This window comes from Homo sapiens, chromosome 17 (genome assembly GCF_000001405.40).
Source record: "Homo sapiens chromosome 17, GRCh38.p14 Primary Assembly".
NCBI lineage: Eukaryota > Metazoa > Chordata > Mammalia > Primates > Hominidae > Homo > Homo sapiens.
This window is the reverse complement of record NC_000017.11, coordinates 5,030,393-5,054,286: the sequence shown is the minus strand read 5'-3', so window position 1 is coordinate 5,054,286 and position 23,894 is coordinate 5,030,393. Positions and strand designations below refer to the sequence as shown.

Genomic DNA, 23,894 nt, shown 5'->3' with positions numbered 1-23,894 from the left:
AGGTGAAGTCAGTACACTTAGGGGCACCCACCTCAAATGAAAAGTGAAATCTGGCCGGGTGCAGCAGCTCATACCTGTAATCCCAGAACTTTGGGAGGCCAAGGCAGATGGATCACCTGAGGTCAGGAGTTCGAGACCAGCCTGAGCAACATGGTGAAGCCCCGTCTCTACTAAAAAAAAAAAAAAAAAAAAAAAAAAAAAATTAGCCAGGTGTGGTGGTGCATGCCTATAATCCCAGCTACTTGGGAGGCTGAGGCATGAGAATTGCTTGAACAGGAGGCGGAGGTTGCAGTAAGCCAAGATCGTGCCACTGCACTCCAGCCTGGGCAAGAGGGAGACTGTCTCAAACAAAAAAAAAAAAAAGAAAAGAAAAGTATTCTCAGGTGCCAAGCCGAGTGTACCAAATGCAAATGCTGTAAGAGGAAAGAAATCAGTGTGGGCTGAGCAAATGGGAGCTCCAGAATATCTGTTGAATGAACAAGCTGTTAGGACTTGCTGGCTGTAACTATAATCAAATAAAAGAAGCAAGGAGTCAAAAAGGACACGGTTTGAGCCGGGATGACTGGAAAGTCAGGGTACTACTGGCAGGTGAGAAAGTTGGGTTGGGCAGGGCATATTAGGTTTCAGGCATATTAACATAACTTCTGCTGGGCGTGGTGGCTCACGCCTGTAATCCCAGCACTTTGGGAGGCCAAGGCAGGCAGATCACCTGAGGTTGGGAGTTCCAGACCAGCCTGACCAAAAATGGAGAAACCTCGTCTCTACTAAAAATACAAAATTAGCCGGGCATGGTGGCAGGCGCCTGTAATCCCAGCTACTCGGGAGGCTGAGGCAGGAGAATCACTTGAACCTAGGAGGCAGAGGTTGTGGTGAGCCGAGATCACGCCATTGCACTCCAGCCTGGGCAACAAGAGTGAAACTCCATCTCAAAAAACAAACAAACAAACAAACAAAAACATAGCTTCTGTGTCTCTGGCTCTTGGCCCCACTCATCAGTGTAGACCCACAAATCCAGACAAAGTACTCACCAGCTATTTGTGCAAACCCCTAAAGGATGTCTTACATGTCCCAGTGAACGAGTCTGGTCATCTGTGGACTGACACCAGCCATTTTCTGCACTTCTTTATTCTCAGGACTCCTTCCGCTGAGTATCAGTTTGTCCTAGCTCCTGGCAACAAATAAATGTCAGGTATTCTTCCTCTGTTCCAAACCTTTCAAAGCTGTAGAGAAGCTGTTATTATAGAGTTATAAAATATTAATGCCACAAGAAACTTAAAAATCAGCCAGTCCAAGCCCCTCATTTAGCAGTTGCCCAAAATGAGGCACAAAAATCCGGAGACCTCCTCGTGGCTTGGTGTAGTGTCCAAGCTGAGATCTGACCAGCACTTTGGGAGGTCATGGCAGGAGGATCACTTGAGCCAGGAGTTCCAGATCAGTCTGTGCAACATGGCAAAACCCTGTCTCTACAAAAATTAGCTGGTTGGCTGGGTGCAGTGGCTCACACCTGTAATCCCAGCACTTTGGGAGGCTGAGGTGGGCGGATCACCTGAGGTCAGAAGTTTGAGATCAGCCTGGCCAACATGGTGAAACCCCATCTCTACTAAAAATACAAAAACTAGCCAGGCATGGTGGCACATGCCTATAGTCCCAGCTACTCGGGAGGCTGAGGCAGGAGAATCCCTTGAACCTGGGAGGAAGAGGTTGCAGTGAGTTGAGATCGTACCATTGGATTCCAGCCTGGGCAACAGAGTGAGATCCTTCTAAACAAAAAAATAGCTAGATATGGTAATGCAACGCCTGTAGTCCCAGCTACTTGGGAGGCTGAGGTGGGAGGATTGCCTGAGCCTGGGAGGTCGAGGCTGTGTTGACTAATGATCACGCCACCGTACTCCAACCTGGGCAACAAGAGCGAGACTCAGTCTCAAAAAAAAAAAAAAAAAAAAAAAAAATCTGTAGTCCTGTTGCCCTTTATTCACTTGGCTTATAGGTGTTATTTTGTCTTTCATTTTCTTTTCTTTTTTTCTTTTTTTTTTTTTTTTTTTTTGAGACGGAGTCTCGCTCTTGTTGCCCAGGCCAGAGTGCAGTGGCGTGATCTCAGCTCACTGCAGCTTCTGCCTCCCTGATTCAAGCGATTCTCCTGCCTCAGCCTCCCGAGTAGCTGGGGTTACAGGCGCCCACCACCACGCCCGGCTAATTTTTGTATTTTTAGTAGAGACAGGGTTTCACCATGTTGGCCAGGATGGTCCCGAAGTCCTGACCTCAGGTAAGCGACCCGCCTCGGCCTCCCAAAGTGCTGGGATTACAGGCCTGAGCCACGGTGCCTGGCCTATCTTTCATTTTCAAAGCTTGTTTTTGAGTGGTGGCATGGGGCACACCCCTGTACTGCTAATGCAAAGGAATATTAGAATCACCATTTGTGAAAGAAACTTGGCAGTCTGTTACAAGAGCCTCAGCTATGTCATACAGTTTCACCCAATAATTCTATTTCAAGAGACTTATCCAGGAAAAAAAAAAAAAAAAAGACCAAAATAAGAAAAGCTTTGTAATGAGCCCTTGTTGCTTTTACCTACCCAGTGCCTCTGTTCCTCTTCTGGTAACTGAATTCCTCCTTCATCTACCAATTTATAGCAGCAGGGTTTGAGATTCTTTCACTGAATTCCAACCAATCAAATTATCTGAAAAGTATTATTTTTCTTTTTTCAGACAGGGTCTCGCTCTTTCACCCAGGCTGGAGCACGGTGGTGTGACCCCAGTTCACTGAAGCCTCAACCTCCTGGGCTCAAGGGATCCTCCCACCTCAGCCTCCTGAGTAGCTGGGACTATAGGTGCACATCAGCATGCCCAACTAAATTTTATTTTTTGTAGAGATGGGGTTTCGCCATGTTGCTTGGGCTGGTCTCGAACTCCTGGGCTCCTGCGATCCGCCCATCTCAGCCTCCCAGAGTGCTGGGACTACAGGCATGGGCCATTGCACCTGGCCTTTAAAATATTCTTTTCTTTTCAAGTGAGAAATGGTATCCTACTGATGTCTTAATTTGCCTTTCTTTGATATATACAGTCAGGGAGAGCATCTTTTCCACATGTCTATTGGCCATGTGTATTTCCCATGAAATATTTCATACCACCCCCCTCACCATTTTACAATATGATCTTTATCAATGTCACAGTGATAGGATATGTCTCTAACCTGTATCTTTTATTTTCTTTCTTTCCTTTTTTTTTTTTTTGATACGGAGTTTTCCTCTTGTCGTCCAGTCTGGAATGCAATGACATGATCTCGGCTCACCACAATCTCCGCCTCCCGGGTTCAAGCAATTCTCCTGCCTCAGCCTCCCGAGTAGCTGGGATTACAGGCATGTGCCACCATGCCCGGCTAATTTTGTATTTTTAGTAGAGACAGGGTTTCGCCATGTTGGTCAGGCTGGTCTCGAACTCCTGACCTCAGGTGATCCACGCCCCCTTAGCGTCCCAAAGTGCTGGGATTACAGGCACGAACTACTATGCCTGGGATTAACCTGTATCTTTTGACTTATTAACTTGTCTGTGCTTACTGGAGTGGCACTCTGAGCTGAGCCTGGACAGGTGAGACTATTTCTAGAGGTTTGTCTATTCTATATATTTCATATAAACAGGATCATACAATATGTTGGAATTGCATCTTTATGTCTCTTTTCAGTAGTCCAATGGCACAATCTCAAAAACAGTCTAACTTCTGAACTTTTGCATACTGTTTGTTTGTGTTCTTCACATCTGGATTTGGCGTTCCCACGCTGGAATGCTGTTTGGGGGGATGATACGCAATCTTCTCTCAGTCTCCATGGTAATCGCTCTGAACTCACCGCCCAGCTGTAGGGCAGCGCTTGCATGTGATCATGATAAACTGCAATATGCATTCAACTGAAATAGAAAAGCAGCTCAAGGATGCACAGCGAAGCTGTGGTTTTTTTTGTTTTTGTTTTTGTTTTTTTGTTTTTTTTTGAGACGATGTTTTGCTCTTGTCGCCCAGGCTGGAGTGCAATGGCAAGATCTCGGCTCAGTGCAACCTCCGCCTCCCAGGTTCAAGTGATTCCATGCCTCAGCCTCCTGAATAGCTGGGATTACAGATGCCTGCCACCACACCCGGCTAATTTTTGTATTTTTAGTAGAGACGGGTTTTCACTGGTCTCGAACTCCTGACTTCAGGTGATCCACCTGCCTCGGCCTCCCAAAGTGCTGGAATTACAGGTTTGAGCCACCGCATCTGGCCTGCAGTGAAGCTTTCTAAGTCTATCTTTTCCTTTCTCCTTTCCTTCCTCGTGTCCCAAAGGCAGGAATATGCCCCTCCTCTTGAAGTTCCTCTGATTGTCCAGTCCTCCACGGAAAATCTTATTATTTGTTTATCAGACCAGAAGCAAAATAAATGCCCTTGAAAGGTGACAAGCAACAGCGTGAGGAGGACCTCGCTTGCCCAGGCAGCTTCCTCCAATCCCACCCTTGCCCCACACCAGAACAGAGGATAATTTCAGCACCCGTGCCTGGGAAGACACCCAAAATGAGTGTCTGTAGTTTGTCCCCTCTTTGAAAGAATGCAGGGCTTGAGAAGGCTCACTTTCCCTGCAGGCCTCTGTCTGGTGCCAGATGTAGGCTCTGTGAAAAGAAGCACAGCTATAACCGGGAGCCTTAAAATAGTCAAAGTTTCTATAACAGAAATTATTAGTGGTGTAGGGGAGCAAAAACAGGCAAAAGAATAGCTGCTTTGAGCTTCAGGCTTTCATTGTGGTTAATAGACAATTGAAATCAAAGAAACATGTTTACTTCTTTTTTCTTTTCTTTTTTTTTTTTTTGACAGGATGTTGCTCAGACTGGAGTGCAGTGGTGCGATCTGGGCTCACTGAGGCCTCAAACTCCTAGGCTCCAGGCTGGGGTGCTGTGGTGTGAACTCAGCTCACCGCAACCTCCACCTCTGGGCTCAAGCGATTCTCCTGCTTCAGCCTCCTGAGTAGCTGGGACTATAGGTACACACCACCACACCTGGCTAATTTTTTTTTTTTTTTTTTTTGAGACAGAGTCTTCCTCTGTCACCAGTCTGGAGTGCAGTGGCATGATCTTAGCTCACTGTAACCTCCGCCTCCTGGGTTCAAGCCATTCTCCTGGCTCAGCATCCCGAGTAGCTGGGATTACAGGCGCCCACCACCACACCCAACTAATTTTTGTATTTTTAGTAGAGACAGGGTTTCACCATGTTGGTCAGGATGGTCTTGGTCTCCTGACCTCGTGATCTGCCCACGTCGGCCTCCCAAAGTGCTGGGATTACAGGTGTGAGCCACCGCTCCTGGCATTTTTTTTCTGTAGAGATGGGGTTTTGCCATGTTGCCCAGGCTGGCCTCGAACTCCTGGGCTCAAAGCAATCCTCCCTCCCCGGCCTCCCAAAGTTCTTGGATTACAGCATGAGCCACCATGCCTGGTGGAAATCCATGTGGAACATGTTTGTTTTCCCTCCACTGGGTTGTAGCCCAGCTTTCACTCCACTATTTGTGTTATTTCTCCACCTCCCACTTCAGCACCTCAGTCTCTTTCATCCTAAGAAAATCCACCTCACCCTGTGGAATTAAAAACATTTAAACCAGCCAGGCACGGTGGCTCACGCCTGTAATCCCAGCACTTTGGGAGGCCGAGGCAGGTGGATCACCTGAGGTCAGGAGTTCAAGACCAGCCTGACCAACATGGTGAAACCCCGTCTCTACTAAAAATACAAAAATTAGCTGGGCATGGTGGTGGGCGCCTGTAATCCCAGCTACTCGGGAGGCTGAAGCAGGAGAATCGCTTGACCCCAGGAGGCGGAGGTTGCAGTGAGCCGAAATCGCACCATTGCACTCCAGCCTGGATGACAAGAGCAAGACTCCATTTAAAAACAAAACAAAACAAAAAACAAAACAAAAAAAAACCCTTTAAACCAAAGAATTTGGATGCAGATTGAAATGGTTAGAAAATGTGGCCGGGCATGGTGGCTCACGCCTGTAATCCGAGCACTTTGGGAGGCGGAGGCAGGTGGATCACCTGAGGTCAGGAGTTCAAGACCATCCTGGCCAACATGGTAAAACCCCGTCTCTACTAAAAATACAAACATTAGCAGGTGTGGTGGTGTGCGCCTGTAATCCCAGTTACTTGGGAGGCTGAGGCAGGAGAATTGCTTGAACCCAGGAGGCCGAGGTTGCAGTGAGCAGAGATCGCGCCATTGCACTCCAGCCTGGGGAACAAGAGTAAGACAACATCTCAGAAAAAAAAAAAAAGAAGAAGAAGAAAAGAAATGGTTAGAGAATGCAAGGCCCTGGGTTAGTCATTAGCCTTTGTTTTTCAGAAGGACAAGAAATAAGGTGGGGAAATTTTTACATACCAGTGGCCATAAAATTTAAGTTAAATCTTGACTTATTCTGTATCTTGGCCCGCTAAAACTGGGTTTCAGTTTGTTTTGATTTTCTATAAGGGGCAAGGAGCTTTTCCTTCCTCCTAGAAAGGTCATTTTCATAACTGTGAGAATTGTCACTTTGCAACCTTGAAACCTTGAGTCTGATCATGTTTATTACTAGAACCTACATCTGTTTGAGGGTTTGTTGTGGAAAACTGTCTTTGTTCCAGGAAGTCGTAAACCACATTGATCCTAAGATGCTGACTTCACTCCTGGACCGAATAGTTATTAACCCCAGTGGCATTACTATTCTAGCTCTAATTAACTCTACCAATATGAAAACATCTGAGGGTTCTCTGAAAATCAGGAAGCTATCTAAAGGCATTCCTTCTTGTAAAACACACACACACACACACACACACACACACACCCCACATCAATTAATAAGTAAATCTAGGCTGGGTGCCATGGCTCATGGCTGTAATCCTAGCACTTTGGGAGGCCAAGACAGGATTGCTTGAGCCCAGGAGTTCGAAACAAGCCTGGGCAACATAGAGAGACCTTGTCTCTACAAATACTTTAAAAATTAGCCAGGAGTGGTGACACATGCCTGTGGTCCCAGCTACTTGGAAGGCTGAGGCAGGAGGATCACTTGAGCCCAGGAGGTCGAGGCTGTAGTGAGCCGTGGTTGTGCCACTGCACTCCAACCTGGGTGACAGAGCGAGACCCTGTCTCAAAAGTAAATCTACACTCTACTTTATTTTATTTTATTTTATTTTATTTATTTATTTTAGACAGAGTCTTGCTCTGTTGCCCAGGCTGGAGTGCAGTGGCGCAATCTCTGCTCACTGCAACCTCCGCCTCCCAGGTTCACACCATTCTCCCGCCTCAGCCTCCCGATTAGCTGGGACTACAGGCGCCCGCCACCAGGCCCGGCTAGTTTTTTTTGTATTTTTAGTAGAGACAGGGTTTCACCGTGTCAGCCAGGATGGTCTCGATCTCCTGACCTCGTGATCCACCCGCCTCGGCCTCCCAAAGTGCTGGCATTACAGGTGTGAGCCACCGCGCCTGGCCAATCTACACTCTAAACTGCAGACCCAAACCAAGTAATCCACACAAATATCTAGGACAAGAAAAGCTCCCTGGGAGGGTTTCACCACTTATCAGTAGATCGGTCAGAGCAGATTTGGAGGTCGAGGAAGAAGCCCCTTGGGCAGGGGAAATGTCTCATTCCCCCACAGTGTTTCAGTAGCAAGGACAGCTTCACAGCTCTGACACATTTTTTTCTTTTAGACAGAGTCTCGCTGTGTCACCCAGGCTGGAGTGCAGTGGTGCAATCTCGGCTCACTGCAACCTCTGCCTCCCGGGTTCAAGCAATTCTCATGCCTCAGCCTCCCGGGTAGCTGGGATTACAGATGCCCTCCACCATGCCTGGCTAATTTTTGTATTTTTAGTAGAGATGGGTTTTCACCATGTTGGCCAGGCTGATCTTGAGCTCCTGACCGAATGATCCACCCGCTTAGGCCTCCCAAAGTGCTGGGATTACAGGTGTGAGCTGCCAGCTCTGACACATTTTGAAGGAGGAAGGGCCTAGGAGCTAACACTGACAGTGCTTACCATGTGCCAGGCATGGGGCCAGGTGCCCATCGATGCCTCAGCACAACCTCATGAAGTTGGCATCATTATGTCCCTATTACTGTTGGGGACATTTCAGCACAGAAAGCTTAAGTGACTTCCCAAAGTCACACAGCTAGCGGGTGTCTCAGATTCCATGCCTTTGGCCACTGCAGTTTACTGATAAGAGGGAGCCATTCTTTTGGTCAACAAATATTTGAGCCGGGCGCGGTGGCTCACACCTGTAATCCCAGCACTTTGGGAGGCCGAGGTGGGCGGATCACTTGAGGTCAAGAGTTCGAGACCAGCCTGGCAACATGGTGAAACCCCTTCTCTACTAAAAAAATACAAAAATTAGCCAGGCATGGTGGCTCATGCCTGTAATCCCAGCTACTTGGGAGGCTGAGGCACGAGAATTGCTTGAACCCAGGAGGCAGAGGTTGTGGTGAGCCAGGAGCATGCCACTGCACTCCAGCCTGGGCGATAGAGTGAGATTCAAAGTCTAAAAAAAAAAAACAAACAAAAAACCACAAACATTTGAACATCTACCATAAATTAGGTAATAAGGAAGCTACATAAACCAATACGGCCTTTGCTCTTGAGAGGGGAAAATGTAATGGGGGTAAATTACTAGGGGAAAACAAGATAAGCACATAAGTAAACAGTAAAGCAGGACAAGATTCAGCTTCCTAAGAAGGGAACATAAATTTTTTCTTTTCTTTTTTTTTTGAGACGGCATCTTGCTCTGTCACCCAGGCAGGAGTGTAGAGGCACTACCTCGGCTCACGGCAACCTCCGCCTTCCAGGTTCAAAAGATTCTCCTGCCTCAGCCTCTTGAGTAGCTGAGATTACAGGCGCACGCCACCATGCCCGGCTAATTTTTGTATTTTTTTTTAGTAGAGACAGGGTTCGCCATGTTGGCCATACTGGTCTCAAACTCCTGAACTCAGGTGATCCACCCACCTCAGCCTCCCAAAGTGCTGGGATTACAGGTGTGAGCCACCATGCCCAGCCAGTAAATTTTTTCTATGGGAGTTCAGAGGAGGGAAGAGAAGCCCTCAGCCTACACCTGGTGAGGAAGATGAAGAGGTTTCACTCAGGAGGTAGAAGCTGAGCTGGATCTTAAGGAAGGGCAGTTTATTGGCCAGGAGATGCTTGGGGAAGGACATAAGTCACCTTACGCTCAGAAAAAGATGTGACATCTTGGGGAGGCCCATTTGACCCAAGGGTTCTCATCACGGACTAAAGTGAATTGAAGGTGAGAGGTCAGGTGGAACAGAGCATGAACCAAGACCCAGGTCTCCTGGTGCCCAGTCTCAGGCTCCTTTCACTACTCCTCACTGCCTCGTCACCCAGAACATTCCCCCGTTTAGGCTGTGGGCTCCTGATCTTAGTCACAACTGCCCCGAGGCTCAAGGACTTCAGCTCTGAGGTGAAAGGTTGGGTTGCTTTCGAATTCCTTCCCAGGCTCCTGTGTCCAACTGGAGGTAGACTTCCAGCTCTGGCCACCTGCCAAGAAGCTGAAGGTGACTTCAGGCAAGCCACAGCCTCAGTTTCCTCATTTGTACTGCTCTTCTGGCATCTATCACGCCCACCCTGATGGAGTCATGTTAGGAGATCATGCTGCCTTCTCTCTCCTACTAGGCTGCAGTCCCTATTAGAGGAGAATCTGGGTCTCACTAAAAGGGTGAATAAGGTTCAATCCCTAAAGGCAAGGAGTCCAGGGTCAAGGCACGACATGACAAGCACAAAGTCTATAATTTCATGATCACATGGTAAGTGTGGTGATAAGGTAAGCTTAAAAAGAAAGGGGGGCTGGGCGCAGTGGCTCACACCTGTAATCCCAGCAGTTTGGGAGGCCAAGGCAGGAGTGTTGCTTCATCTCAGGAGTTTAAGACCAGCCTGGACCACATAGTGAGACCCTGTCTCTACCAAAAAATAAAAATTCTAAAAAAATCGCCAGGTGTAGTGGCATGTACCTGTAGCCCCAGCTACTGAAGAGGCTGAGGTGGGAGGATTGCTTGAGCCCTGGGGATCAAGGCTGCAGTGAGCTGTGATCACACCACTGCACTACAGCCTGGGCAACAGAGCAAGATCCTGCAGAAAGAAAGGAAAGGTGGCCAGGCACGGTGGCTCACGCCTATAATCCCAGCACTTTGGGAGGCCGTAGGCGGGTGGATCACCTGAGGTCGGGAGTTCAAGACCAGCCTGACCAATATGGAGAAACCTTGTCTCTACTAAAAATTCAAAATTAGCCAGGTGTGGTGGCGCACACCTGTAATCCCAGCTACTCGGGAGGCTGAGGCAGGAGAATCGCTTGAACTTGGGAGGCGGAGGTTGTGGTGAGCCAAGATGGCGCCATTGCACTCCAGCCTGGGCAACAAGAGCAAGACTCCATCACAAAAAAAGTAATAATAATAATAAAGAAAAATAAAGAAAGAAAGGGAAGGAAAGAAGGGAGGGAGGGAGGGAGATACTTAACCCAGTCTGAGAGAGTCAAGGCCTCCTGAGGCTACAGCAGCTAAGCTGAGACTCACTGTTGAGTGGAAGCCAGCCAGTAGAGGGGGGCTGTGAGGTGTGGAGGATCTTCCAGGAAGAGGAAAGGCACAAAGGTAGGACACAGTGTGGGGTCTGCAGAGAACCATAAGCAATTTGTTGGGAGGCCGAGAGTGCTAGAAAGGAGGTAGGAGAGGAAGGACAGGGCCAGGCCTTGTAAGATTTTACTTATGTATATTATATGCCTTTGTGTCATCCAAATACATAACAAAATGCATTCTATACAGTGGGCCTTCCATAAATACTTTCAAAAATGAATACGATGATTGGCTGGGCGTGGTGGCTCACACCTGTAATGCTAACACTTTGGGAGGCTGAGGCGGGTGAATCACCTGAGGTCAGGAGTTTGAGACCAGCCTGGCCAACATGGTGAAACCCCATCTCTACTAAAAATACAAAAATTAGCTAGGCGAGATGGTGGGTGCTTGTAATCCCAGCTACTTGGGAGGCTGAGACAGGAGAATCACCTGAACCCAGGAGGCAGAGGTTGCAGTGAGCCAAGATTGCACCACTGCACTCCAGCCTGGACGACAGAGCGAGACTCCGTCTCAAGAAAAAAAAAAAAAAAAGAGTACAATGAGATGATGGATTAAATGTTCTCGAAAGTTCTTTCCAGCCCTTGAAAGCCAGTGTTGCCACTCAAGGCCCCGCTGAGATTTGAGTTCCAAATATTCCCCAGTCTTTAATGGAAGAGTATCAAACCTCATCTATGGGCTTATCTCACAAAATGTTTGCTCTGTAGAGGTATCTGTTCGGGCAGGAGACAAGGCAATGTTAAATTCACCCTAAAGGTTTAAGTTGTACCAGTTGGCTGGGTTTTCTCTGCCCCCCAGGTGAGTTGTCAAAACCAAGCCAGGCCCAGAGACAGTCACGCTGGAGGGGTAAGAACTATGGCCTTTTGCCAGGCGCGGTGACTCACACCTATAATCCCAGCACTTTGGGAGGCCGAGGGGGGCAGATCACCTGAGGTTGGGAGTTCAAGACCAGCCTGGTCAACATGGAGAAAGCCTGTCTCTACTAAAAAAAAAAAAAAATACAAAATTAGCCAGGCGCGGTGGCTACTACTTAGGAGGCTGAGGTAGGAGAATCACTTGAACCCAGGATGCGGAGGTTGTGGTGAGCTGAGATCGCGCCATTGCACTCCAGCCTGGGAAACAAAAGTGAAACTCCGTCTCAACAAAGAAAAAAAAAGAGGACTATGGCCTTTTAACCCACAGGGAAGGGTTCAAGATCCAGGAGAAGCCAGATTGAAGCCAGAAGGAATAAGATAAGGATTCAGACTGATTGGGCTTACCTCCTCCCCTGAGCTCTGAGGCCAGGTGTTCCTGAGATAGAGGAGAGGGTGGAGAGCTGCTGCCGGAGCAGAAGGCAGAGGAAGACAGTACATTCATCTGTGGTGAGCTTTCTCTACACAGACACGGGAAGTGGGACAGGGGTTCAAGAGGAAGTCAGTAGGAAGAGTTTATCCCCTGCACAACAGTTCATGAATGAAGGGCCTTCAAGTGCTTACTGTAAGGCCAGCCCCGTGCCCCAGAAGGCTGCAGGGATTGTGTGCGCCCTCTCCCTATCCATCCCCAACACGAGAATGCTAAATGCTGCAGTGAGGTCTTCAGAATAGAAGCCCTAACCATTGTCTAGGATTCCAGGTACTTTCTGGGTAAAGAAATTAGGGGCAGTGAAAAATTGGAAGTTGGACGGCTGGGCATGGTGACTCACGCCTGTAATACCAGCACTTTGAGAGGCTGAGGCAGGAGGATTGCTTGAGCCTAGAAGTTTGAGACCAGTCTGGGAAACACAGTGAGACCATATCCTTAAAAATAGGCCGGGTGCGGTGGCTCACGCCTGTAATCCCAGCACTTTGGGAGGCCGAGGCAGGTGGATCACTTGAGGTCAGGAGTTCAAGACCAGCCTGACCAACATAATGAAACCCATCTCTATTAAAAACAAAAAAATTTTGGGGTGTGGTGGCTCACACCTGTAATCCCAGCACTTTGGGAGGCCGAGGCAGGTGGATCACCTGAGGTCAGGAGTTCGAGACCAGCCTGGCCAACATGATAAAATCTTGTCTTTACTAAAAATACAAAAAATTAGCTGGGCAGGGTGGTGGGTGCCTGTAATCCCAGCTACTCGGGAGGCTGAGGCAGGAGAATCACTTGAACCCAGGAAGCGGAGGTTGCAGTGAGCCAAGATCGCACCATTGCACCCCAGCCTGGGCAATAAGAGTGAAACTCCATCTCAGAAAAACAAAACAAAATAAAACAAAACAAAGAAACAAAAAAAAATTCGCTGGGCATGGTGGTGTGCACCTGTAGTCCCAGCTACTTGGGAGGCTGAGATGGGAGAATCACTTGAACCCAGGAGGCAGAGGTTGCAGTGAGCCAAGATTGCACCACTGCACTCGAACCTGGGCAACAGGGCAAGTCTCCATCTCAAAATAAATAAATAAATAAATAAGTAAAAATAAAAGTAAAAAATTAGCCAGCCGTGGTGGCTGGCACACACCTATGGTCCCGGCTGCTTGGGAGGTCAAAGCTGGAGGACCACTTGGAGCCCAGGAGTTCAAGGCTACAGCAAGCTATGATCTTGCCACTGGACTCCAGCCTGGGCGACAGAGACCCTGTCTCAAAAATAACAACAGGCCGGGCACGGTGGCTCACGCCTGTAATCCCAGCACTTTGGGAGGCCGAGGCGGGTGGATCACGAGGTCAGGAGATCGAGACCATCCTGGCTAACACGGTGAAACCCCATCTCTACTAAAAATACAAAAAATTAGCTGGGCGTGGTGGCAGGCACCTGTAGTCCCACCTACTCGGGAGGTTGAGGCAGAAGAATGGCGTGAACCCAGGAGGCAGAGCTTGCAGTGAGCCAAGATCGCACCACTGCACTCCAGCCTGGGTTACAGAGTGAGACTCCATCTCAAAAAAAAAAAAAAGTGCTATTCGGTGCTATAGGGTTATGATAGGTTTATGGTGAACTGAACTGCCAAGTAACAGCCTTAGGGCTGTGTGGCCACAACAGAGTACCAGGTAGCCCATCTACCAAGGAGCAGAGGGATCTTCCAGGTGAGGATTCTGCACCTTGGCGAGTTAGACCTTCGGTCCCCTTGGTTATTCCCCGTGCACCAGACCCCAAGGCCATCCCTTGCTCTTTTCTGAAAATTCAGGGAGAAGCTAAGGTTTGAGGCACGTAGTGTCGAAACCACAATGACAGATCTTATCATTTGCATTAGTCCTCTCACCCCACGCAAGAACAAATTTGGACTAGGAACGGTGGTTCATGCCTATAATCCCAACACTTTGGGAGGCTGAGGTGGTAGGATTGCTTGAGCCCAGGAGTTTGGGAGCAGCCTATGCAGCAGAGCAAGACCTAGTCTCTACAAAGAATTTAAAAATTAGCCAGGTGTGGTGGTGCACACCTGTGGTCCCAGCTACTCAGGAAGCTGAGCTGGGTGGATCACTTGAGCCTGGGAGTTTAAGGCTGCAGTGAGATGTGATGACACCACTGCACTCCAGCCTGGGTGACAGAGCAACACCCTGTCTCAAAAAAAAGAAGGAAAAGAACAAATTTGATCTAGGGACCCGCCAGTGCTCAGTGATGTTCTCCTTCATTAAGTAATGTTCTTCCACTTTCTACTTCAAGTATCCATCCCTCAGTGGGGCCCGCACACAAGGCACTTTTGTAATCCTACACATCACAACCACCCCAGGCACACATCCAACAATGACCGTTCACCATTTATAGCCGGCTCCTTGACTCCCTCCATGTGGGTCTTGCCTCTCCTGTCGCGGCCTCTCTAGCATTCTGCCTTTCTTTAGTTGGAGCTCTATTCCTAAGGACATGGTGATCTCTTTTGTCCCAAAGTCATTCCAAGAGAAGCATCTGCACTTTATAATTTTTCTTTCCCTCTTCTGCAAGGTCCCTAACATATAGGGAACTATTGTCTATACATTGTCAATTACTGACTGGGCGCGGTGGCTCATGCCTGTAATCCCAACAGTTTGGGAGGCCGAGGCGGGCGGATCACCTGAGGTCAGGAGTTCGAGACCAGCCTGGCCAACATGGTGAAACCCCATCTTTACTAAAAATATAAAAATTAGCCAGGCTTGGTGGTGGGTGCATGTAACCCCAGCTACTCGGGAGGCTGAGGCAGGGGAATCACTTGAACCCAGGAGGCGGATGTTGCGGTGAGCCGAGATCACACACTGCACTCCAGCCTGGGTGGCAGAGTGAGAAATTGTCAATTACTGATTTGCAGATAGGCAGTGGCAGGGTGTTTGGCCAAGGGGTGAGGTGATCACCTACGTTAAGGGGACAGTTCCTGCAGTTAGACCGTGACCAACACTGAAATCCTGGCTCTGCTCCCTACCTGTGGAAGGTTGGACAAGTGACTGAATTTTTTTTTTTTTTTAGAGATGGAGTCTCTCGCTGTTGCCCAGGCTGGAGTGTAGTGGCACGATCTCAGCTCACTGTGACCTCCGCCTCCTGAGTTCTAGTGATTCTCCTGCCTCAGCCTCCCAAGAAGCTGGGACTACAGGTGCGTGCCACCAAGCCCAGCTGATTTTTGTATTTTTAGTAGAGACGGGGTTTCACCGTGTTGGCCAGGCTGGTCTCAAAGTCCTGACCTCAGGTGATCCACCTGCCTCAGCCTCCCACAGTGCTAGGATTACAGGCATGAGGCCACCGCGCCCGGCTGACTGAATCTTTATGTGCCTCGGTTTCCAGTTTCCTTTTAATGGAGTATTGATAATAGTAGCCACTCCATTGGACTTTTGGGAGGATTGTTTGTTAATATTTTTTAAATATTTATGCCAGTACCTGGCATATAACAAGAAAAGTGTTGGATAGGCCAGGCGCGGTGGCTCACGCCTGTAATCGCAACAGTTTGGGAGGCCGAGGTGGGCGGATCACGAGGTCAGAAGATCGAGACCATCCTGGCTAACACGGTGAAACCCCGTCTCTACTAAAAAATACAAAAAAATTAGCCGGGTGTGGTGGTGGGCGCCTGTAGTCCCAGCTACTCAGGAGGCTGAGGCAGGAGAATGGTGTGAACCCAGGAGGCAGAGCTTGCAGTGAGCCGAGATTGCGCCACTGCACGCCAGTCTGGGCAACAGAGCAAGACTCTGTCTCGAAAAAAAAAAAAAGAAAAGTGCTGGATAAATGGTGTCTTTTCTCATCCTCTTGGAGTATTAGAAACATCATTGTTTGGTATTACTGTGGGAAACTAAATGTGACCCCATTTCTGTCTGGTTTAGCCTTTCCCTAAGCAGTGAGGGCAAGCTTGGTTGCACATCAGAGTCACCTAGGAAGCTTTCAAAATTTATTTTACTATTTTTTTTTTAAGAGACAGGGTCTCCTTCTGTTGCCCAGGCTGGAGTGCAGTGGCATAATCATGGCTTGCTGCAGCCTCAAATTCCTGGGCTCAAGTGATCCTCTCACCTCAGGCTCCTGAGTAGCTGGAATTACAGGCACACACCACTGTGTCAGGCTTGTGTTTTTTGAAACACAGATTTTAGGCCGGGCGCAGTGGCTCACACATGTAATCCCAGCACTTTGGGAGGCTGAGGCGGGCGGATCACTTGAGGTCAGGAGTTCAAGACCAGCCTGGCCAACATGGTGAAACCCCGTCTCTACTAAAAATACAAAAAATTAGCCGGGCGTGGTGGCAGGCGCCTGTAGTCCCAGCTACTCGGGAGGCTGAGGCAGGAGAATGGCGTGAACCTGGGAGGCAGAGCTTGCAGTGAGCCGAGATTGAGCCACTGCACTCCAGCCTGGGCGACACAGTGAGACTCCGTCTCAAAAAAAAAAAAAAAAAAAAAAGGAAGGAAGAAAGAAAGAAACAGATTTTAGGGTATTATTGGAAGAAAGAAAGAAACAGATTTTAGGGTATTATTGGTTTATTTATTCAACAACAATTTGAGCACGTCCTATGTGGTATAATGATCACTGAGAATAGGGTAGGTAGTGAAATAGACAAAGTGCCTCCTCCGCGCAAACGTACATCCTAGTGAGGGAGATAGACCAGCAAACTTGTTCTGTAAATGGCCAGACAGTAAACATTTTAGGCTTTGAGGGCCACACAGTCTCTGTGGAAACCATTCAGCTCTGCCCTTATAGCAGGAAAGCAGGTGTAGACAATAGGTAAATGAATGGGCTTGGCTGTGTTCTGATAGTATTTTATTTATGGACACTGAAATTTTTTTTTGTTTGGGGGGGTGGATGGAGTCTCGCTCTGTTGTCTCGACTGGACTGCAGTGGCACAAGCTCAGCTCACTGCAACCTCCACCTCCCTGGTTCAAGCGATTCTCATATCTCAGCCTCCCGAGTAGCTGGGATTACAGGCGCCCGCCACCATACCCAGCTAATTTGTGTATTTTTAGTAGAGACGGGGTTCACCATGTTGGCCAGGCTGGTCTTGAACTCCTGATCTCAGGTGATCAGCCCGCCTCGGCCTCCCAAAGTGTTGGGATTACAGGCGTGAGCCACCACGCCTGGCCTACCGAAATTTAAATTTCATATGCTTTTAGTTTTCACGGGTTAGGAAATACGATTCTTTTGTTTTCTTTGTTTTTTGTTTTGTTTTGGTTTTAGACAGGGTCTCACTGTCACCCAAGCTGGAGTACATTGGCACAATCATGGCTCATTGCAGCCTTGACCTCCTGTGCTCAAGGGATGCTCTCACCTCAGACGCCTGAGTAGCTGGGACTACAGATATTGATTTTTTTTTCCAACCATTTAAAAATGTAAAAACAGCTGGACGTGGTGGCATGTGCTTGTAGTCCCAGCTGCTCAGGAGGCTGAGGTGGGAGGATCCTTGAGCCCAGGTATTTGAGGCTGCAGTGAGCTGTGATTGTGCTACTGCACTTCCTTTTGAGGAAGACACTTTCTCAAAAATAGTAATAAAAATAAATAAATAAATATGTGAAAACCTGTCTTAGCTAGCAGGCCATACAAAAATGGGTAGTAGGTCAGGGTAATCCCTGAGATGGTCAGTGAGTAAACAAGTACAAAATATCATTAAAGGGCCAGACATGGTGGCTCACGCCTGTAATCCCAGCACTTTGGGAGGCTGAGGCGGGCGGATCACCTGAGGTCAGGAGTTCGAGACGAGCCTGGCCAATATGGTGAAACCCCATCTCTACGAAAAATACAAAAATTATCCAGGCGTGGTGGCAGGCGTCTGTAATCCCAGCTACTCGGGAGTCTGAGGCAGGAGAATGGCGTGAACCTGGAAGGTGGAGCTTGCAGTGAGCCGAGATCGCGCCACTGCACTCCAGCCTGGGCGACAGAGCGAGACTCCGTCTCAAAAAAAAAAAAAAAAAAAAAAAAAAGCAAAAATTAGCCAGGTGTGCACACCACGTCCAGCTAATTTTTTTTCAACCATTTAAAAGTGTAAAAACAGCTGGCCAGGCACGGTGGCTCACGCCTGTAATCCCCAACACTTTGGGAGGCCGGGGCAGGTGGATCACCTGAGGTCAGGAGTTCAAGACCAGCCTAGCTAACATGGCGAGACCCTGTGCACTAAAAAGACAAAAATTAGCAGGGCATGGTGGTGGGCGCCTGTAATTCCAGCTACTCGGGAGGCTGAGGCAGGAGAATGGCTTGAACCCGGGAGGCAGAGGCTCGTGCCATTGCACTCCAGCCTGGGCAACAAGAGCAAAACTCCGTCTCAAAAAAAAAAAAAAAAAAAAAAAGTGTAAAAACAGCTGAGCGTGGCGGTAGCTAGGTGTGGTGCGTCTGTAGTCCCAGCTACTTGGGAGGCTGAGGTAGGAAGATTGCTTGAGCCCAGGAGTGCCAAGCCAGCCTGAGCAACATAGTGAGACCTTGTCTCTACCAAAAAAAAAAAAAAAAAAAAAAAAAATTAGCTGGACATGGTGATGCTCGCCTGTGGTCCCAGCTACTTGTGGGGGGGTGGGGAGAGGCTGAGTGGGAGGATCCCTTGAGCTTGGGAGGTTGAGGCTGTAGTGAGCCGCGATCGCGCACCGCTGCGCTCTAGCCTGGGTGACAGAGTGAGACCCCGTCTCAAAATTAATTAATTAATTAAAACAACAAACAACAAAACCCCAGCTGTGTGGGCTCTGGGCTGGGCCGCCTCCCCGGCGGAGGGGGCTCCCTCTCAGGCAGACCGCCAGCCGCTGGGTCCGGGGACTGCCGGATCCGGAGGTGCGGGGACCCCTGCGCACCTGGCGGCTCCCGGGATGCCCCCCTGAGGCAGGCGGGAGGGCAGCACGGAGACGCCCCTCCGGGCAGAGCCCGCCCCAGCCACTCCCCTCTCCAACTCGACCTGCCTCAGCAAGTCCTGAGTGTCGCAAAAGCGCTAGGGTTGCAAGTGGCACCAGAGACGTGCCCTTGTCCCGGGGTCCATTTGAGGGTGAGCGTGTTGGTGCCGAGCTGTTTTTTTGTTTTGTTTTGTTTTGTTTTGTTTTTGAGACCGAATCTCGTTCTGTCGCCCAGGCTGGAATGCAGTGGTGTGATCTTGGCTCACTGCAACCTCCACCTTCCGGGTTCAAGTGAATCTCCTGCCTCAGCCTCCTGAGTAGCTGGGATTACTGGCACCCACCACCACGACCAGCTAATTTTTGTATTTTTAGTAGAGACGGGTTTTCACCATGTTGGCCAGGATGGTCTCAATCTCCTGACCTCAGGCGATCTGCCTTCCTCAGCTTCCCAAAGTGCTGGGATTACAGGTGTGAGCCACCGCACCCGGCCAGTGCTGAGCTGTTTTGACAACTTGGACCCCGGGTCCTCTGTGGGTAGGAAAATCAGCTCCCTCTTTGCTCCTCTGGGGCAGCTGCACCTCGGGCCAGCTTTCTGCCTGTCTGCCTGCCGGCACTGCTGGGTCGCTGTACCCAAACGCACAGCCGGTGCCCCGTGGTAAGTCCTGGCTCCCCACCTTCCCCGCCCGCCCCCGGCCACCTCTCCCTCCAGTTGCCCTGGTCTTAGCAGTCTGACCGACTTGTCTTCTGACTCCGGTTCTGTCCCACCAGCCTATTACCTGCCAGCCTGTCTGTTTCCCTCCAGCTAGAAGGTCTTCAGTTTCCAGAAGAACCAAAGCATCTTTGGACCTACCTAGGGAAGGACCTGCCTGTGACCTTTGCCCTGTCCTGGAGGGTCCAGCTTTGGGCTGAATGGCAGCACCCACGCTGGGCCGTCTGGTGCTGACCCACCTGCTGGTGGCCCTTTTTGGCATGGGCTCCTGGGCTGCTGTGAACGGGATCTGGGTGGAGCTGCCTGTGGTGGTAAAAGACCTTCCAGAGGGTGAGTGGGAGGGAGGTACAGGGAAGCGTGGGGCAGGTATGCCCAGAAAGGTGGCCTGTGGCAGCTCTTTGTCCCTTAGCCACTGTGCTCCTGACATGGCATCATTCCTTCCCTGCAGGTTGGAGCCTCCCCTCATACCTCTCTGTGGTTGTGGCGCTGGGAAACCTGGGTCTGCTGGTGGTGACCCTGTGGAGGCAGCTGGCCCCGGGCAAGGGCGAGCAGGTCCCCATCCAGGTGGTACAGGTGCTGAGTGTAGTGGGCACAGCCCTGCTGGCCCCTCTGTGGCACCACGTGGCCCCAGTGGCAGGGCAGCTCCACTCTGTGGCCTTCCTAACTCTGGCCTTGGTGTTGGCAATGGCCTGTTGTACCTCTAATGTCACTTTCCTGCCCTTCCTGAGCCACCTGCCACCTCCTTTCTTACGGTCTTTCTTCCTGGGTCAGGGTCTCAGTGCCCTACTCCCCTGTGTGCTGGCCCTAGTGCAAGGTGTGGGCCGCCTCGAGTGCCCACCAGCGCCCACCAATGGCACCTCTGGGCCTCCCCTCGACTTCCCTGAGCGTTTTCCTGCCAGCACCTTCTTCTGGGCACTGACTGCCCTTCTGGTCACTTCAGCTGCCGCCTTCCGGGGTCTCCTGTTGCTGTTGCCATCACTACCCTCTGTAACCACAGGGGGCTCAGGGCCTGAACTTCAACTGGGATCCCCAGGAGCAGAGGAGGAAGAGAAGGAGGAAGAAGAGGCTTTGCCATTGCAGGAGCCACCGAGCCAGGCAGCAGGCACCATCCCTGGCCCAGACCCTGAGGCCCATCAGCTGTTCTCAGCCCATGGTGCCTTCCTGCTGGGCCTGATGGCCTTCACCAGTGCCGTGACCAATGGCGTGCTGCCTTCTGTGCAGAGCTTTTCCTGTTTGCCCTATGGGCGCCTGGCCTACCACCTGGCTGTGGTGCTGGGCAGTGCCGCCAACCCCCTTGCCTGCTTCCTGGCCATGGGCGTGCTGTGCAGGTGCAAAAGGGTCCCCAGGCTTGGTGGGTGGAACTTAAGGTTGGGGTCCAGGTCCCAGAACAGCCAGCCCTGAGTCTCTGCTCATCCCCAACAGGTCCCTGGCAGGGCTGGTTGGTCTTTCTCTGCTGGGCATGCTCTTTGGGGCCTACCTGATGGCACTGGCAATCCTGAGCCCCTGCCCACCCCTGGTGGGCACCACTGCAGGGGTGGTCCTTGTGGTGAGCAAGTGGAGACATGAAGTGGGGAGGAGGGTGTCCCCTGGAGCAAGTGCATGTCATGCTCAGCCTGCTGCTGTGTCCTCCCTTGCAGGTGCTGTCGTGGGTGCTGTGTCTGTGTGTGTTCTCATATGTGAAGGTGGCTGCAAGCTCCCTGCTGCATGGTGGGGGTCGGCCGGCATTGCTGGCAGCTGGTGTGGCCATCCAAGTGGGCTCCCTGCTTGGTGCCGGTGCCATGTTCCCTCCCACCAGCATCTACCACGTGTTTCAAAGCAGAAAGGACTGTGTAGACCCCTGTGGCCCCTGAGCCTGGGCAGGTGGGGACCCAACTCCACCCCACCTGTCTTCATCGTGAGGCTGCCACAGTGCCTGACTACTTGTGGCCCAGGCAGGCTTCCCCCAACACAGGAACGCTCATGGACACCTGCACACTCCACAGAAGACGTTGGCATGTGAGGCCAGGGTGGGCACCAAAGACCAGGCCCAGAGCCAGGGGACAGGTTGGGGCTGTGGGCTTGGACCCAGGGCCTGAGACCTTTGTGGGATTTGTGCAATAAAGTGTTTTTATTTAAAACCAAAAACAAAAACAAAAGCCTAATGAAAACCTTATAAGAAATATATAATGAAATCAGGAAACTGGATTAAATAATTTTTCATACATATATTATCTAGTGTGCAATTAGATTTAAATACAGATTGTAGTGCCTTTCTTATATCCACAGCTTATCTCTTCTTCTGTGGGTTTTCTTGTCAAAAACCTTTCTTACTCAAGTGAGTCTCTGTCATTTGCTATGGGATTGGCCTTTAAAGACAACGGAGTCTCACTCTGTTGCTCAGGCTGGAGTGCAGTGGTGCAATCTCGGCTCACTGCAACCTCTGCCTCCCGGGTTCAAGCGATTCTCCTGCCTCAGCCTCCTGAGTAGCTGGGATTACAGGCGTGTGCCACCACGACCGGCTAATTTTGTAATTTTAGTAGAGACGGGGGGTTTCACCATGTTGGTCAGGCTGGTCTCGAACTCCTGACCTCGTGATCCGCCCGCCTTGGCCTCCCAAAGTGCTGGGATTATAGGCGTGAGCCGCCGCGCCCAGTGGAAACATGGATTACTTCAATTTTCTTCCTTCTGCTTTTCTGTATTTGTTAAATTTCAAATAAAGCAAACCCTGATCCAAAACCTCCTCTAATAAGCGGGGATTGTTTCCCCTAAGGTCGATCTACCCCCTAGCACAGTCCCTAAGGCAGAAGAAGCTGCTCAATGAAGGCTTCTCTTCCTTTTCTTTGGAACTCAAGAGCACCCACGAAGGGGAAGAAATGCTAATTCTGAAAGGAGTCAGGTCCTCCCTTCTGAAAAACGAAGATGACAGCTAGTCCTGGGGGAAGAGGAAATCCCCGCAGGGCTCCCGCCCACCTCCGGACCTTCCTCCAGACACGCGGAATACAGAAGCCCAAGCCCGGCGCCGCGTCACCCCAGCCAGCCTTCTGCGCGTGCGCCCTCCCGCCTCGCGCCCCCCGCCCCGCCCGCCTCGCACCTCCCCCACGCCTCGCACCCACCCCCCGGCCTCGCACCCCCACCGCCCGCCCGCCCGGGAGACTCACAGGCGCGCAGGGCCGCAGGGGTCCCCTCGGCCACTCGTTCTCAAGGCTCCGTGAACGCGCAAGCAAAGACGTCCTTCGAGGGAACCTTTTCTCCTCCTGGCGGACAAGAGTGGAACGACAGGGCTTGAGGAGAAGTTTTGCCAGGTTGGGGGTGACATCTTTTGAAACTTGACCTCGTTTTTTATTTTGTTTGTTTGCTTGCTTGCTTGCTTGAGACGGAGTCTCGCTCTATTGCCCAGGCTGGAGTGCAATGGTGCAGTCTCGGCTCACTGCAACCTCCACCTCCTGGGTTCAAGCGATTCTCCTCCCTCAACCTCCCAAGTAGCCGGGATTACAGGTGCCCACCACCATGCCCGTCTAATTTTTGTATTTTTAGTAGAGACGGGCTTTCACCATGTTGGCCAGGCTGGTCTCGAACTCCTGACCTCATGATCCGCCCGCCTCGGTCTCCTAAAGTGCTGGGATTACAGGCGTGAGCCACTGTGCCTGAGACCTCACCTCGTTTTGCAAGCGCCTCTCTTCTTTCTCAAGGCCTCATATCCGGTTCAGAGTAAAGAAAAAGGGAAGGCACCAACCTTGAGCTCCTAAAATGTGCTAGACCCTTTACATGTATTATCAGTAAATCTTCCCAACAGCTTCATTATTCGTCCTGTTTTGCAGAAAAGGAAATTGAAACTCAGAGAAGGTGACTTACCCAGAGTACCACAGCTAATTAGTGAGACGGCTGGAGCCCAGGTCTGTGTGCTCCAGAGATTCTGACTGCAGCCCTCACCTGTTGGCTCTGGACTTGGAGAAAGGAGAGCTGCTTCTCTGCAGCTGAAGAGGCTCTGCAAGAAGCCCAGAACAGGCAGGGCGCTATAGCTCACGCAGGTAATCCTAGCACTTTGGGAGGCTGAGGTGGGAGGATCACTTGAGCCCATAAGGTTGAGACCAGCCTGGGCAGCATAGCAAGATCACTGTCTCTACAAAAACAAAACAAAACAAAACACAGCCAGAGTCAGGCATGGTGACGCACACCTGTAGTTCCAGCTACTGGGGAGGGTGAGGCAGGAGAATCCCTTGAGCCTAGGAGTTTGAGGCCTCAGTGAACTATAGACCCACCACTGCACTCCACCCTGGGTGACAGAGCAAGACCTTGTCTTTAAGAAACAAAACACAAAACAAAACAAAAACAAAAAAACAGAACAGCTTCCCTGGTCATTTGTAAAGAACCTTTAATGGATTGTACCACAGGGCAAGACTTTCCCAGTTATCTCAAAACATATTCCTTCTCCAGA

General features: G+C 50.3%; 1 protein-coding gene and 1 long non-coding RNA gene across 8 annotated transcripts, besides 3 other annotated features; one reads left to right on the top strand and one right to left on the bottom strand.

Moving 5' to 3' along the window:
* Positions 1 to 904: 904 nt before the first annotated feature.
* On the bottom strand, positions 905 to 23,481 carry LOC105371501 (uncharacterized). 3 transcript variants are annotated; one of them, XR_002958101.2, is made up of 4 exons: positions 23,390 to 23,481; positions 23,116 to 23,266; positions 22,618 to 22,713; positions 905 to 1,168 (listed from the first exon to the last, which is right to left on the bottom strand). It is a non-coding gene; the product is annotated as an uncharacterized LOC105371501 (long non-coding RNA). The 3 variants fall into 3 exon arrangements; XR_934174.3 differs by lacking the exon at positions 905 to 1,168 and adding an exon at positions 21,670 to 22,365; XR_007065586.1 differs by lacking the exon at positions 905 to 1,168 and adding an exon at positions 21,670 to 22,365 and having other exon boundaries at positions 22,618 to 23,266.
* Positions 10,489 to 10,637: a silencer, noted in NCBI's record as "fragment chr17:4946945-4947093 (GRCh37/hg19 assembly coordinates)". NCBI's record gives its function as "represses an EF-1alpha promoter that drives an FKBP-Casp9 reporter gene in an ReSE screen in HepG2 liver carcinoma cells and K562 erythroleukemia cells {active_cell/tissue: HepG2 | K562}" and the evidence as "EXISTENCE:reporter gene assay evidence [ECO:0000049][PMID:32094911]".
* SLC52A1 (solute carrier family 52 member 1) lies at positions 11,873 to 21,685 on the top strand. Of its 5 annotated transcripts, XM_047436338.1 has the most exons (6): positions 11,873 to 11,951; positions 19,216 to 19,426; positions 19,574 to 19,810; positions 19,929 to 20,808; positions 20,903 to 21,026; positions 21,118 to 21,685. In XM_047436338.1, exons 3-6 carry the CDS (start codon positions 19,681 to 19,683, stop codon positions 21,328 to 21,330), a joined length of 1,347 nt encoding a protein of 448 aa, XP_047292294.1. In that variant the 5' UTR covers positions 11,873 to 11,951; positions 19,216 to 19,426; positions 19,574 to 19,680; the 3' UTR covers positions 21,331 to 21,685. The 5 variants fall into 5 exon arrangements, with proteins under 5 accessions (XP_047292294.1, XP_047292295.1, XP_011522253.1 ...); XM_047436339.1 differs by lacking the exon at positions 19,216 to 19,426; XM_011523951.3 differs by lacking the exon at positions 11,873 to 11,951 and having other exon boundaries at positions 18,861 to 19,426; positions 19,578 to 19,810.
* Positions 22,370 to 22,509: an enhancer, noted in NCBI's record as "active region_11564". NCBI's record gives its function as "activates an Ori minimal core promoter by ATAC-STARR-seq in GM12878 lymphoblastoid cells {active_cell/tissue: GM12878}" and the evidence as "EXISTENCE:reporter gene assay evidence [ECO:0000049][PMID:35858748]".
* Positions 22,530 to 22,619: a silencer, noted in NCBI's record as "silent region_8064". NCBI's record gives its function as "represses an Ori minimal core promoter by ATAC-STARR-seq in GM12878 lymphoblastoid cells {active_cell/tissue: GM12878}" and the evidence as "EXISTENCE:reporter gene assay evidence [ECO:0000049][PMID:35858748]".